The sequence below is a fragment of the Homo sapiens genome, chromosome 16, assembly GCF_000001405.40.
Source record: "Homo sapiens chromosome 16, GRCh38.p14 Primary Assembly".
Classification (NCBI taxonomy): Eukaryota; Metazoa; Chordata; class Mammalia; order Primates; family Hominidae; genus Homo; species Homo sapiens.
Window position 1 is genome coordinate 49,873,116 of NC_000016.10, and position 12,375 is coordinate 49,885,490.

The window sequence follows — 12,375 nt, forward strand, 5'->3', positions numbered from 1 at the left end:
TCTTTTCCCCTCAAAGCCATAACAATTCCTATTTGCACCAACTATATATGACAGTGCCTTCTCCCCCAGATTCCCCCAGGACTATCACCCATTTTATTTTTGCTGATCTCATGGCATACTAGTGGCATTTTATGTGGCTCTAATTTGCATTTTTCTGGACCAAGAGTCATATTGAGTTTCTTTTCATGCATTTTTGGCTATTTGAGTTTCCTCTTCTGCAAAACACATGGTTGTATCCTTAGCTCGTTTTAGGATGTGGTCAATCCAGAAGAGCACTCTGACTATGCACTTACCTCAGTGGATCAGAGTTATTTATGTTCCAGAAGGCTGTGAGCTCCACCCGGCAGGGGCTGTATCTTATTCCTCCTGCACTAGCACCAGCACCAAGCTCAGCACCTTGCACACAGGATTTCAGGAAGCACTGAATGAAGAAAGGAGCCTCTGGCAGCCCTGGGATGCCCCAGCAGGCCCAGTCACCAGGGCAGGCTGCTGGGGGATCTGAGCACATTCTTACACTGAGGGTTATGTGTTATTTCTCCCAGCCCATGGTCACCCCTTGCTAGGACCTTTGAAGAGCTCCTTGGCAAAGCCGAGTGGAATCTCATCATGGCAAGTGCCCCCAGTGAGCCTGGGGCTCCTCTGCCTCCTCTCTCTTCTTTCCCCCAGGACAGGAAGATCCAAAGCCAACAACCCCTTGGCCATGGAGCACCCTCTCCCCAGAAGGTCAGGGAATCCATTCCCTCTCTCTCTCTTTTTTTTTTTTTTTTTTTTTTTTGAGTCTCACTCTGTCGGCCAGGCTGGAATGCAGTGGCACCATCTCACTCAATTCACTGCACCCTCCACCTCCTGGGTTCAAGCGATTCTCCTGCCTCAGCCTCCCAAGTAGCTGGGATTACAGGTGTGTGCCATCATGCCCAGCTAATTTTTGTATTTTTAGTAGAGACAGAGTTTTGCCATGTTGGCCAGGCTGGTCTTGAGCTCCTGACCTCAAGTGATCTGCCCACCTTGGCCTCCCAAAGTGCTGTGATTGTGGGTGTGAGCCACTGCGACTGGCCCCAAGGAAGCCATTCTCAAAATCCTTCCAGCCACTTCACTGCCTGCTGTGAGTCTGCCAGAGGGGGAGGGAAGGAATGAAGACCCCCCCTCCAAGTGATGACACCAAGTTGCCCCTCCCTAGGGTGTGATTTGGCTGGATAGAAAGGATCTGGTTTGGACCATGTGAGTGCCTCACCTAAAGCAAGGCCAAACTCAGCAGGAGCAGCTTCCCTGTGGCCAGTCTGATTTTTGGTCCCCGCTTAAGGAGACTGAGGGGTCGGGGGTGGGCAAATTCCTTCTTCTGATCTCCGAACGAGCATCTGCTTGAATCACTACAGACCCCCATGCCAAGCTCAGGAACATTGGAGCCTCTGCCTCACAACTGCCTGGGACCAAACTCATTCATGCAACAAATACTTATTGGGCATCTATTATGTTCCAGGCAGAGTTCCAGGCACTAGGGATACATTAATGATCCAACAGGCAAAAATCTCTGCACTCTTGCAGCTGACCTTGTCCAGCAGGGCTTGACAAATTTTTTCTCTAAAGGCCAGAGAGTAAACATTTTTGGCTTTTCAGGCCATAAGGTCTCTGTTGAACTGACTTAACTGCCTTTGTAGTGTGAAAACACCCATGCATGGGTGTGGCTGTGTTCCAATAAAACTTTATTTATGGACACTGAAATTTGAATTCTGTGTAATGTTCATGTGTCCTGAAATATGAGTGTTTCTTTTTCTCTTCCCCAACCATTAAAAATTTGTAAAGCACTCTTAGCTCAAGGGAGGGCTGTATAAAAACAGGTGGTGCCAACCTCTGTTCTAGAGGGATAATAAAAACTGAAACTTACACAGCACTTATATGTGCCAGGTACTGTTCCAGTGCTTATGTAAATTGACTCATTCAATCCTTACACAAACCCTGGGAGGCGTGCAATCATTGCTGGCCCCACTTTACAGAGAAGGCAAGAGGCACACAGAAATTGACATAAAGTTATATTATTAGAAAATTGTGGGGCCAGGATTTGCATCCAGATCCAAAGTGTATGGTTTTATACACTATTCTATACCTTTGCCTCCAAAAAAATCCAACAAAATCATAAACAGCTGTCTTTGTTTCTTTGGTTTTTTTTTTTTTTTTTTTTTTTGAGATGGAGTCTTGCTCTGTTGCCCAGGCTGGAGCGCAGTGGCGCGATCTTGGCTCACCACAACCTCCGCCTCCCAGGTTCAAGTGATTCTCCTCCCTCAGTCTCCAGAGTAGCTGGGACTACAGGCACGTACCACCACGCCCGGCTAATTTTTGTATTTTTAGTAGAAACAGGGTTTCACTATGTTGGCCAGGCTACTCTCGAACTGACCTCGTGATTTGCCCACCTCGGGCTCCCAAAGTGCTGAGATTACAGGCGTGAGCCACCACGCCCAGTCCAGCTGTCTTTGTTTAATATCTATTATGCCCAGATACTCCGAGGCACTAAATGTACAATAAAAGAAATAGACGCAAACAGCCTTATAAGACATATGACCCACTTCACAGTGGTCAGCTCAAGGAGAGGACACCCCTTCCCTGGGCCACTCTGCCCCCCTGCTCTCAGTTTCCTTGCCTTGCCCACCTTCCCTACAGTGCCCTCCAAACACCCTGCTCCACAGCCTTCCACATGCTGGCTAAGCTACAACTTGAATTCCAAAACCAGAATGATGTCGGCATCATTGTAACACACCCAGATATTTGAGGAAGAAGATTCAAAGCTAAACAGCCCAGGAAAGAGACAAAGACTAGGGAGGTTTCCAGGGCCTGAGAAAGCCTTTTGTGGGTAGGGCTGTGGTACAGGCACGGGGAGGTGGACTCTAAAAGAACCACTTCTTTGGTGTACCTCCCTCTATTCTCCCCTCTCTCCCAATGCTAGCAAGGCCTCCGGGTCTTTAAGAGGGGAAGGGGGAAGCAGGTGAACGCTTCTCGACTTCCAGAACACGGGGGAAAATGCCTCTGGCATTAAACAAAGCCTTTTTATATTTAATGCCAGCCCGGGATTTTCAGAAAACTTTCCCCAAGAGTCACTGAATGTGTGTGCACAAAAAATTACACACCAGTGTCTAAGCAGAGTTGGATGCAGAAACACGCACTTGTGCACGCTGAAACATCCAGCTGGGTCCACGCAGCCGCGGCTGCCCGCGAACCGCGTGTTCATCTGCGTGCTCGCACGCTCGGCGGGACTTGTTGCACGCTCGGGTGCAGCCCGGGCTGGGGGAGTAGGCTCCCCCAGGAATTCCAGAGCCACGGGGGGTGGGAGGAGAAGGAAGCCGTCGCAGCGGGGGTGGGAGGAAGGAGAGGGGAGGAGGGCGAGAGAAGAGGGAGCCCCCAAGCTGGAAGAACAGGGCGCAGGCCCGAGGCCGGGGGCTCCGAGGCCCCGGTCCCCAACTGAGGAGCCGCCCAGCTGGCCGAGTAGGGGAGGACCGAGCGGCGGGAGGCAGGAGTGAGATCAGAGGGTCGAGGGGCCAGCCCAGGGGGCGGGAGGGGGCAGGGACACAGGAGGGAGCTGGGCGGGGGCCGCTTAAGGGTCAGGGTGCGGCGTGGCGGGCGAGGGGCGGGAACGGCTGGCTAGGGTTGTTCCCAGGGCAAGCAGCTGGAGACCCGCCCCGGGAGGCGTCTGAGAGGGCCGGGAGGACCAGCGGTCAGCGCGGGAGCTCGGGCGCCCCCTGCCGCCAGGCCTGGGCATGGGCCCCGCAGGCCTTGGAGATCCTCTCCAGCCGGGATCCGAGAACCCAAAGCCCCGCAAACTGCGCAGGCCCAGTAGGGGCTCGCAAACCGGGGGCCCCAGGGTTCTCACTGGCCAGCATACTTGTGTAGAACTTTGTTTTTTCTTTTTGGAGACAGGGTCTCACTCTGCCGCCCAGGCTGCAGTGCAGTGGCACAAACACAGCTGACTGCAGCCTTGACTTCCCTGCCTCAAGCCATCCTCCCACCTCAGCCTCCTGAGTAGCTGGGATTACAGGCGCACGCCATCACGCCCGGCGTTTTTTTGTTTGTTTGTTTGTTTGTTTGTGTTTTGTTTTTTGGGTTTTTTGTTTGTTTGTTTGTTTTACAGGCAGGGTCTCCCTATGTTGCCCAGGCTGGTCTTGAACTCCTGAGCTCAAGCGATCCTCCCACCTCGGCCTCCCAAAGTGTTGGGATTACAGGCATGAGCCACCGCACCTGGCCTGTTTTGTTTTTTGTTTTTTAACATGAGTCCCAGTCTTTGTAGCTGGAGCCTGGGCTCTTTAGGTCACCACATCACTCCCCAAACACCCCGCTGTAAACCCAGCCCTTCTTTCAGTCGCTCACCCAGCCCCTGAAGGCATCCCCTGCTCTAATCTTGGGAGTCAGATACACCTAGGTCCTGGGTTCCAAAATGAGCTGGGCTCCTCTCAGACTGTGTCTCCCTGAGGGAGCACCATCTGTCAAATGGGCCAATTATACCTACTCTCTCAGGCTGCCTGGGGGTTTCCCAGGGAAACACAGGTAGAAGCTTCGCCTTGAGTCAGTGCCTCCCCTCAAATAAATTGGGGTGAATATTGGGCATTCACAGTGAAGACAGGCCCAGCCAATATGATGTTCAAGAAAGCAGGTGATGCTGAGACTCAGAGCAGAGAACATTAAACCTCACAGCTGGCCAGAGGCAGAGGTGGCGCCCAGACTCACATGCTCCAGCCCCCAACCTGGGGAAACTTTCCACTGTCTCAGTCCTGAAAGCCAAAGGGTTTGTTTTCCAAAGCCAGGTTCAAGCATCTAAGTCAAAAGCAGCTTCCAATTGCTTTTCCATCCTCACTTCACTGGGCACCTTTTTAATGTGCCAAGCCCTTTACCTAAGAGAATGCTGCCTATATGCCCACTGCCCCACTGCTCAGATAGCTAAGACAAGGCTCAGTGACGGAACCTACCCCAGCCACCCAGCCACCCAGCCAGCCCAGGATTCAGCCCTTCAGCTGCGCCTCAAGTTCCTCAAGATGCTCCACCCCTGGCCAGTAAGTCAGCATTCTGGGGGGAAGTGGAGAGTTAGCTTTTTTTTTTCCCCTAATCCCCAGGTAATTACAATGTGTACCCCTGGTGAGAACCACAGTACTGAATGTCAGGCAGAAATGTTCCAGTCTGGAGTTAGCAAGCGGTGGTCCCTGGGCCCAGCCTGGCTTACTGGCACATATCCTTAAATCCCCAGAGTAGTTCATAAAATTGTGAATTCATTACTAGCAGGTAAAAGTCAGGAAATTTCTTTTTTTTTTTTATTCTCTAAGTTCTGGGGTACGTGCAGGTTTATTACATATGTATACATGTGCCATGTTGGTGTGCTGCACCCATTAGCTAGTCATTTACATTAGGTATATCTCCTAATGCTATCCCTCCCCCCTCCCCCAACCCACGACAGGCCCCAGTGGATGGTGTTCCCCACCCTGTGTCCAGGTGTTCTCATTGTTCAATTCCCACCTATGAGTGAGAACATGCGGTGTTTGGTTTTCTGTCCTTGCGATAATTTGCTCAGAATGATGGCTTCCAGCTTCATCCATGTCCCTGCAAAGGACATGAACTCATCCTTTTTTATGGCTGCATAGTATTCCATGGTGTATATGTGCCACATTTTCTTAATCCAGTCTATCATTGATGGACATTTGGGTTGGTTCCAAGTCTTTGCTATTGTGAATAGTGCCACAATAAACATACGTGTGCATGTGTCTTTATAGCAGCATGATTTGTCATCCTTTGGGTATATACCCAGTAATGGGATGGCTGGGTCAAATGGTATTTCTAGCTCTAGATCCTTGAGGAATCACCACACTCTCTGCCACAGTGTTTGAACTAGTTTACAGTCCCACCAACAGTGTAAAAGTGTTCCTATTTCTCCACATCCTCCCCAGCACCTGTTGTTTCCAAAAGTCTGGAAATTTCACACCGAAATCTGGATTTCTGATTTTTTCTCCAACAGTTGGAGAACCAGAAGACACTGATTACTGACTTATGTTCCCTTTCGCTGTGTAGACAGGGACACTCAGGGCAGAGAGGGGCAAGGTGTGTCCAGATACTCCCAGGTCGGATTCCAGGTACAGAACTGGAACTCGGAAATACCCAGGTTTCCCAACTCTGGGTCCTGTGCTCATTTTTGACCCATGCAACTACCAACTGCCACTGAATCATTCTGAGATGAACCCCCCTGTAAAGAACACCCCCTTCCCGAGACAAGCAGGAGTGGTGCCTCTGTATGTCACCTAGGAAAGCCCCACGCCCAGCAAGCCCAATGGCCTCCACTGCCACATACCGTTTCCTGCTTCAGAAACTTGCAGCAGGACATGTAACTCAGAGCCAAGAGGGTGCAGCACATGAGGCCACATCTACATGGACACTTTAAACATCCTAATACCTGCAGTTGGGTGCACTGTGCTAGCTATTGGGAGCTATCAGGGGTCAGAGTGGAAGTCCACGGGTAGAAGGGGATATTCTGGGGCAAGAGGCAGGACAGACACCAAGGAAACAGATACCCAGGTGAAAACAGCCACCTTGATTCACACTCTCAGCCCCTTGGGATGACAGAGGAGGCAGGGATCTCTTTCTCCCCGTTCTACAGAAGGGCAAATTGAGGATGGAACAGTCTTAGAAAGCAGAAGGGGAGAGCTGAGAGGGACCTTGGGATCTGAACTTGTGCATGAGTGGCAGATGTGTTTCATTTCACATGCCACCTGTGATTGACTGCTATTGCCTGCCCCAGACATTGGGGGACAACCAGTTTCCAAGCGGGCCCAATGAAAAAGAGGACCAAGATCTGTTGGTCTACAGCCACAGGCTGGGGAGGGTGAATGGGCAGGGAGATAGGAAAGTATTTCAAGCCGAGAGGATGCGCCAAGGCCTGCAGGGCCCACAGAGACTGGCACATTTGAGGAGAAACAGCGTGGCCTGGGTGGGCAGGAAGGGGGTCAGATCGGGCAGACCACGGGGCCAGTTAAGAAGCTTTGGTTCATCCTATTAATGGGAGCAGTACAAAACCACTTAAAAGGATTTTAGGGGGTAAGCAGCAACTGAGGACAGAGAGCTCCTGTAGGCTGCAGAGATAGGGCAAGACCAGTGAGAGGCCGTCCCAGCTGCCAGATGAGAGACGATGGTGCTAGGACAGTGTGGCCAGATGGGTGCGGAGACCCAGAGACCTCCCAGCCCAGCACTGGCCAGATGACAGAGGCCTGTGGGTGGCCAGCTGGGAGCAAGAGCTTCTAGTCTCATAAGTCAGATTGGGAGCTGCTTAACCCTTTCTTGGTCCCTGGCTCTTTAAAACAAACAAACAAACAAACAAACAACAGCTCAGATGCCCATGGCCAAAGTGAGTGAGGCGGTAAGGGGTACACCTGGAGCCACCCAGCATGTTTTGCTGTTTTAGTCTGTGGTCTAAAGAACCATGGACCCACCCCTCCGGCCTTAGCAGGTAGAGGGGCTGACAGTGGGCCCTCCAAGCTGACGGGATCTGCTGGATTTTCTCGCCTCTGCCATAAACCACCCACCTTCTCATTATGGCATGCAGAGGATGCAGGAAGTGTGGGCTAGACACCGCTTACCAGGTGGAGAGGATATGGAGCAAGGACATTCGTTTCTGGACATAAGTTGTTGTTGTTGTTGTTGTTGCTGTTGAGACAGGGTCTCGTTCTGTTGCCCAGGCTAGAAGGCAGTGGCGCCATCATAGCTCACTGTAGTCTCAATCTCCTGGGCTCAAACAATCCTCCCACCTCAGCCTCCCAGGTAGCTGGGACTACAGGCACACGCCACCACACTGGCTAATTTTTTAAGTTTTTTGTAGAGACAGGGTGTTGCTGTATTGCCCAGGCTAGTCTCAAACTTCTGAGCTCAAGCGATCCCCCTGCCTTGACCTCCCAAAGTGGTGCGATTACAGGGCATGAGCTACCACCCCTGGCTGGACATAGATCTTTCCAGAGAGGGCCACAGGTCTCCCAAGATGTCCCTCACAGCCCTCCTTGTCATCTGGGACTCGGCTCATGGAGCGGTTTTCCGATGTACGTGGCTGTTACTGCAGCAGGTGTGGTGCTGCGGCAGCATTTGTGGAGGCCAGCACAGGCCTATACCCCGCAGACACACCACGCAGGGTCATGGTCCCCTCCCACAGCCCCAGGCAAGTCCCATCTCCCTCCTGGAGCTCCTTGGTGTGGGGAGCCAGAGGACCAGACCTGAGGTTGTCGGAAGGGCAGGGGTTTCCTCCCTATTCTGCCCTGTGTATCCTTGGGCAAGTGACTTATCTCTCTGAACCTCACATCCCCTGCTCTGCCCAATGCTCATGGCTGCAGGGAGTATTCGAGGCAGAAATGAATGGAGAGGGTAAGGCCTGGAGATAACCTCAGGCCGAGTGCAACTTGAACGTGGTTCCCAAACAAACATCCAGAGCCCTGTGTTCAGAGCTGGGGCTGCTCCGGTCCCAAGGAGAGGCTCGAGGCAGCAGAGGAGGCAGACCCCAAACAGATCTTGACCGCGTCGTGGCCAGCTGCAGTCCAGGAGTATGGCAGGCTAAGTCACAGAGGTGGCCGCTATGTGCCTGGGAAGCAGAGCAGGAGGCAGTGGGGCAGCATAGTTGAGTTCATTTGCAGTCAGCCTTGTTTGGGCTCGAATGTGGCCCCACTGCTTGCTAGCTGTGTGACCTTGAGCAAGTTACTTAACTTCTCAGAACCTCCATTTCTACATCTGTGAAATAAGAAAAATAAAAGCCAACACTTAGTGAGCACCAACCATGTTCCAGGAACTTCTCTAAATCCTTTTTAAGCCTAAATCATTCCTTAAAACCACCCTGGGGTATGGTACTACTCCCGCCCTGGAGAACAGATGAAGGAACGAAGGCCCAAAGAGGCAAAGTAATTTCACCAGGCCACACAGCTGGCAGGTGGCAGAGCCAGGTTGGCCACAAGGTCCCTGATCCCTAGGGTTAGTGAGGATCATGAATGGTGACACGTGGATCAGGCTTGTCACTACGGCTGGCACCTGGTTAGCCTGCAGTGTGTCTTGGCTGGTGTTATTGCTGTGAGGGTGGCTGCATTTGTTTCTAGGGCTGCCATAACAAAGTACTGCAGACTGCACAGCTTCGGCATGAGAAATTTACTTTCTCACGATTTTGGAGGCCGTAAGTCCATGGGCAAGATACTGTCAGCAGGGTGGTTTCTTGCGGGAGCTCTCTTCTTGGCTTGTAGAGGCTGTCCTCTCCCCAGCCTGCGTGGTCTTCCCTGAGCACGAGTCTATGTCCTCATCTCTTTTTTTTCTCTCTCTCTCTCTCTTTTGAGACAGGGTCTTGCTCTGTCACCCAGGCTGGAGTGCAGGGGTGCAATCTTGGCTCACTGCAACCTCCACCTCCAGGGATCAAGCCATTCTCCCACCTCAGCCTCACGAGTAGCTGGGAGTACAGGCATGCATCACCACGCCCGGCTAATTTTTGTACTTTTTGGTAGAGATGGGGTTTTGCCATGTTGGCTAGGCTGGTCTTTAATTCCTTACTGCAGGAGGATCTGCCTGCCTTGGCCCCCTAAAGTGCTGGGATTACAGGCGTGAGCCACTGTGCCCCACCTGTGTGCCCTCATCTCTTTTTATAAGACTGGTAGACATACTGAATGAGGACCAAACCTAATGACCCCTTTTTAACTTCACGACCTCTTTAAAGGCCCTGCCACCAAATACATTCTGAGGTGCTGGGGGTTAGGGCTTCAACACATGAAATTTAGGGCGACACAGTTCGGCCCCTAACAGTGGGAGAGGGGGTTGCCTGTTACCATGGCAGGGCTGGAAACAGAACAGGCTGGAGGAGAGATGGTGGCTGCCCAGACGCCCCCTACCCTGAATGCCTGGCCATCAGCGCCCCTGAGCCCTGTTCAGTGGGAAGAGGGCCAGGGCAGGCTTGGGCTCTGGAACTGGGTCAAGGTTACCTCTATGAGGATGGAAGCTGCAGGGCAGAGCCCCCTTTTCCAGCTTTTACACACTCAGGCCATCATTGGGGCTCTGTGCCCCAGTACTTTGGGGACAGTCTCCCCAGGCCCTGTGTGGATGAGGGCGTTGTGTCCAGAGCCCTCAGAGGGCACCTGGGCCCCAAATACCATCTGGACAGCTCGCCAATCATCCTTCCTCCTGCCCAGATGGACCATGAACATGCTTCACCGGGTTGGGAAGCTGCCTCCAGCTCACGCTCCTCAGGAAGGCTTTTTGTTTTTTTAAGAGTCTGGGTTTCACTCTGTGGCCCAGGCTGGAATGCAGTGGTGCCTTCATGGCTTGTTGTAGCCTCAAACTCCTGGGGTCAAGCGATGCTCCCACCCCAGCCTCCCAAGTAGCTGAGATTACAGGTATATGCCACCACAACCAGCTAATTTTTTTATTTTTATTTTTCAGAGATGAGGTCTGGCTATGTTGCCCGGACTGTTCCCAAACTCCCGGCCTCAAGCTATCTCCTGTCTCAGCCCCCAGGGTGCCGGGATTACAGGCATGAGCCACCACACCCAGCTCAGGAAAGCTTTCTTAAACCTCCTCCTCAGAAATTCTGCCTAGAAAGAAACAATGACATGAAAAGATTCCATAAACACACTCAGGGATTCAGGGCTCTTCAGCATTCATTTTTTTTCTTGGCCTCACACGTGGCTGAGTTTGGCCGGCCCTGGAATGTGCACCGACCCCAGTCCCAGGACCCCACCAGCCACAGTGCCAATATTAAAACCTTCCAGGATGCAAATCCTGAAGCCACGAACAAAGCCAGGCCTGAGTTCATCCTAGCAGGACCGGGCTTCCCACTGGCTGTCAGCGACCCCTCCTCCCAAAGTTGTCCTAGTCCCCTCCAGCTTGTGGCCACCACCCCAGTGCCCCCCCCCCCGACCCCCAAACCCGGCATTGCTCTCACACTAACTGCAATTTGCCTCCTAGGTGACCCTTTGTCTTGTTCCTCTCCTGTGGATTGGCCACAAAACAGCCAGAGGGACCTTTGCACCATAGGTTCCTGCTCATATCTGATTATATCACTCTGGTGTGATGATGCAATTGTTGCCAGAGGAGGAGGACGCTGGTTGGTGAAATGCCTGTCCTTTTTTTTTGCCTTCTCCATATCCGGTCAACTTTCTTTTGTCCCCTTTTTCTTACCTGATGCAGTGGTCAGGACCAGGGCTGAAACTCCAAGTACTGGACGCCGGGATGATTCCTAGGCAATAAACTGTAACTGTTTTTAAACTTTGTTGGAATTCCTAAGGGCCTGAGGGGGCGTGTTGTGCCTCCACACCCTCTGGCAAAATCGGGGTTCACAGTGAAAGCAGCTATATTGACTGGTGCTAAAAATAACCCACTAACTCCACACCTGGGTAACCTTACTTTATCTGAATGGCAGTGGACTCAGGGGGAGGTGCTTACTGGACTAGCTCTACTGCCTGCAATCTGGATGAGCACGGTGGCCAAAAATAATGTCCCTTCCACAGAGGGAAAAGCTTGGGCATAAATGGAGAGAAGGAGAAAAAGTAGCTGAGGATAAAGAAAGGAAGGAAGGGGTTACATAGTGAGGGAAATCCAATATACTCTAACATCTTGAAAGAGGCACACAGCAAGAAACGAAAGTGTATCTTAGCTCAATCATAGCAGATGCCTGAAAGGGTGAGGCTACGTCTGCCAAGACCACTCCTGCTTTTGGAACCTGACAAGATCAATGCAAGCCTGCAAACCCGAGTGGCTTCCCCTGGGAGACATTTTCATATGACGTGGTGGTGGACTGGACGAATTATTAACGACTGAATGGGATTCTAGTAACATGCCAGTATTTTTTGAGTTATATGTCCTTTTGCTATAAGGGATCCGTGTCTGAAGAGTGAAAGGTGGACTGTGATATTGTGATTTATAATATGAAATACAGGGCCAGGCCCAGTGGTGTGTGCCTGTGATCCCAGCTACTTGAGAGGCCGAGGCAAGAGAATCGCTTGAGCCCAAGAGTTTGAGAACAGTCTGAGTAACACAGTGAGACCTCGTTTCAACAAAAATTTAAAAATTAGCTGGGTGAGATGGCAGACACCTGTAGTCCTAGCTACTCATGAAGCTGAGATGGGAGGATTACTTGAGCCCAGGAATTCAAGGCTGCAGTGAGCTATAATTGAGCCATTGCACTCCAGCCTGGGTGACAGAACAAGACCCTGTCTCTAAAGAAAAAAAAAAAAAAGAAACATATTTGTATTTTGGTCTTTATCCCCAGTTCCTGATACTGGAGAAATTCCTAATCCCTTGAAATTTCCTGGGTGATGGGAGTGTCTTTTGTTCTGATGAAGTGAATCTTGGTGAGTTCCTGGGTTCCTGAACGGGGCTGGGAACCAGAAAGACCAAGCCACTACT

The 12,375-nt window shown here is 51.6% G+C and overlaps 2 annotated features.

The window, feature by feature from the left end:
- Nucleotides 3,642-3,801: a silencer, noted in NCBI's record as "silent region_7463". NCBI's record gives its function as "represses an Ori minimal core promoter by ATAC-STARR-seq in GM12878 lymphoblastoid cells {active_cell/tissue: GM12878}" and the evidence as "EXISTENCE:reporter gene assay evidence [ECO:0000049][PMID:35858748]".
- Nucleotides 10,903-11,197: an enhancer, noted in NCBI's record as "tiled region #4070; HepG2 Activating DNase unmatched - State 4:PromP, and K562 Activating DNase matched - State 4:PromP". NCBI's record gives its function as "activates a minimal TATA promoter and a strong SV40 promoter by Sharpr-MPRA in HepG2 and K562 cells {active_cell/tissue: HepG2 | K562}" and the evidence as "EXISTENCE:reporter gene assay evidence [ECO:0000049][PMID:27701403]".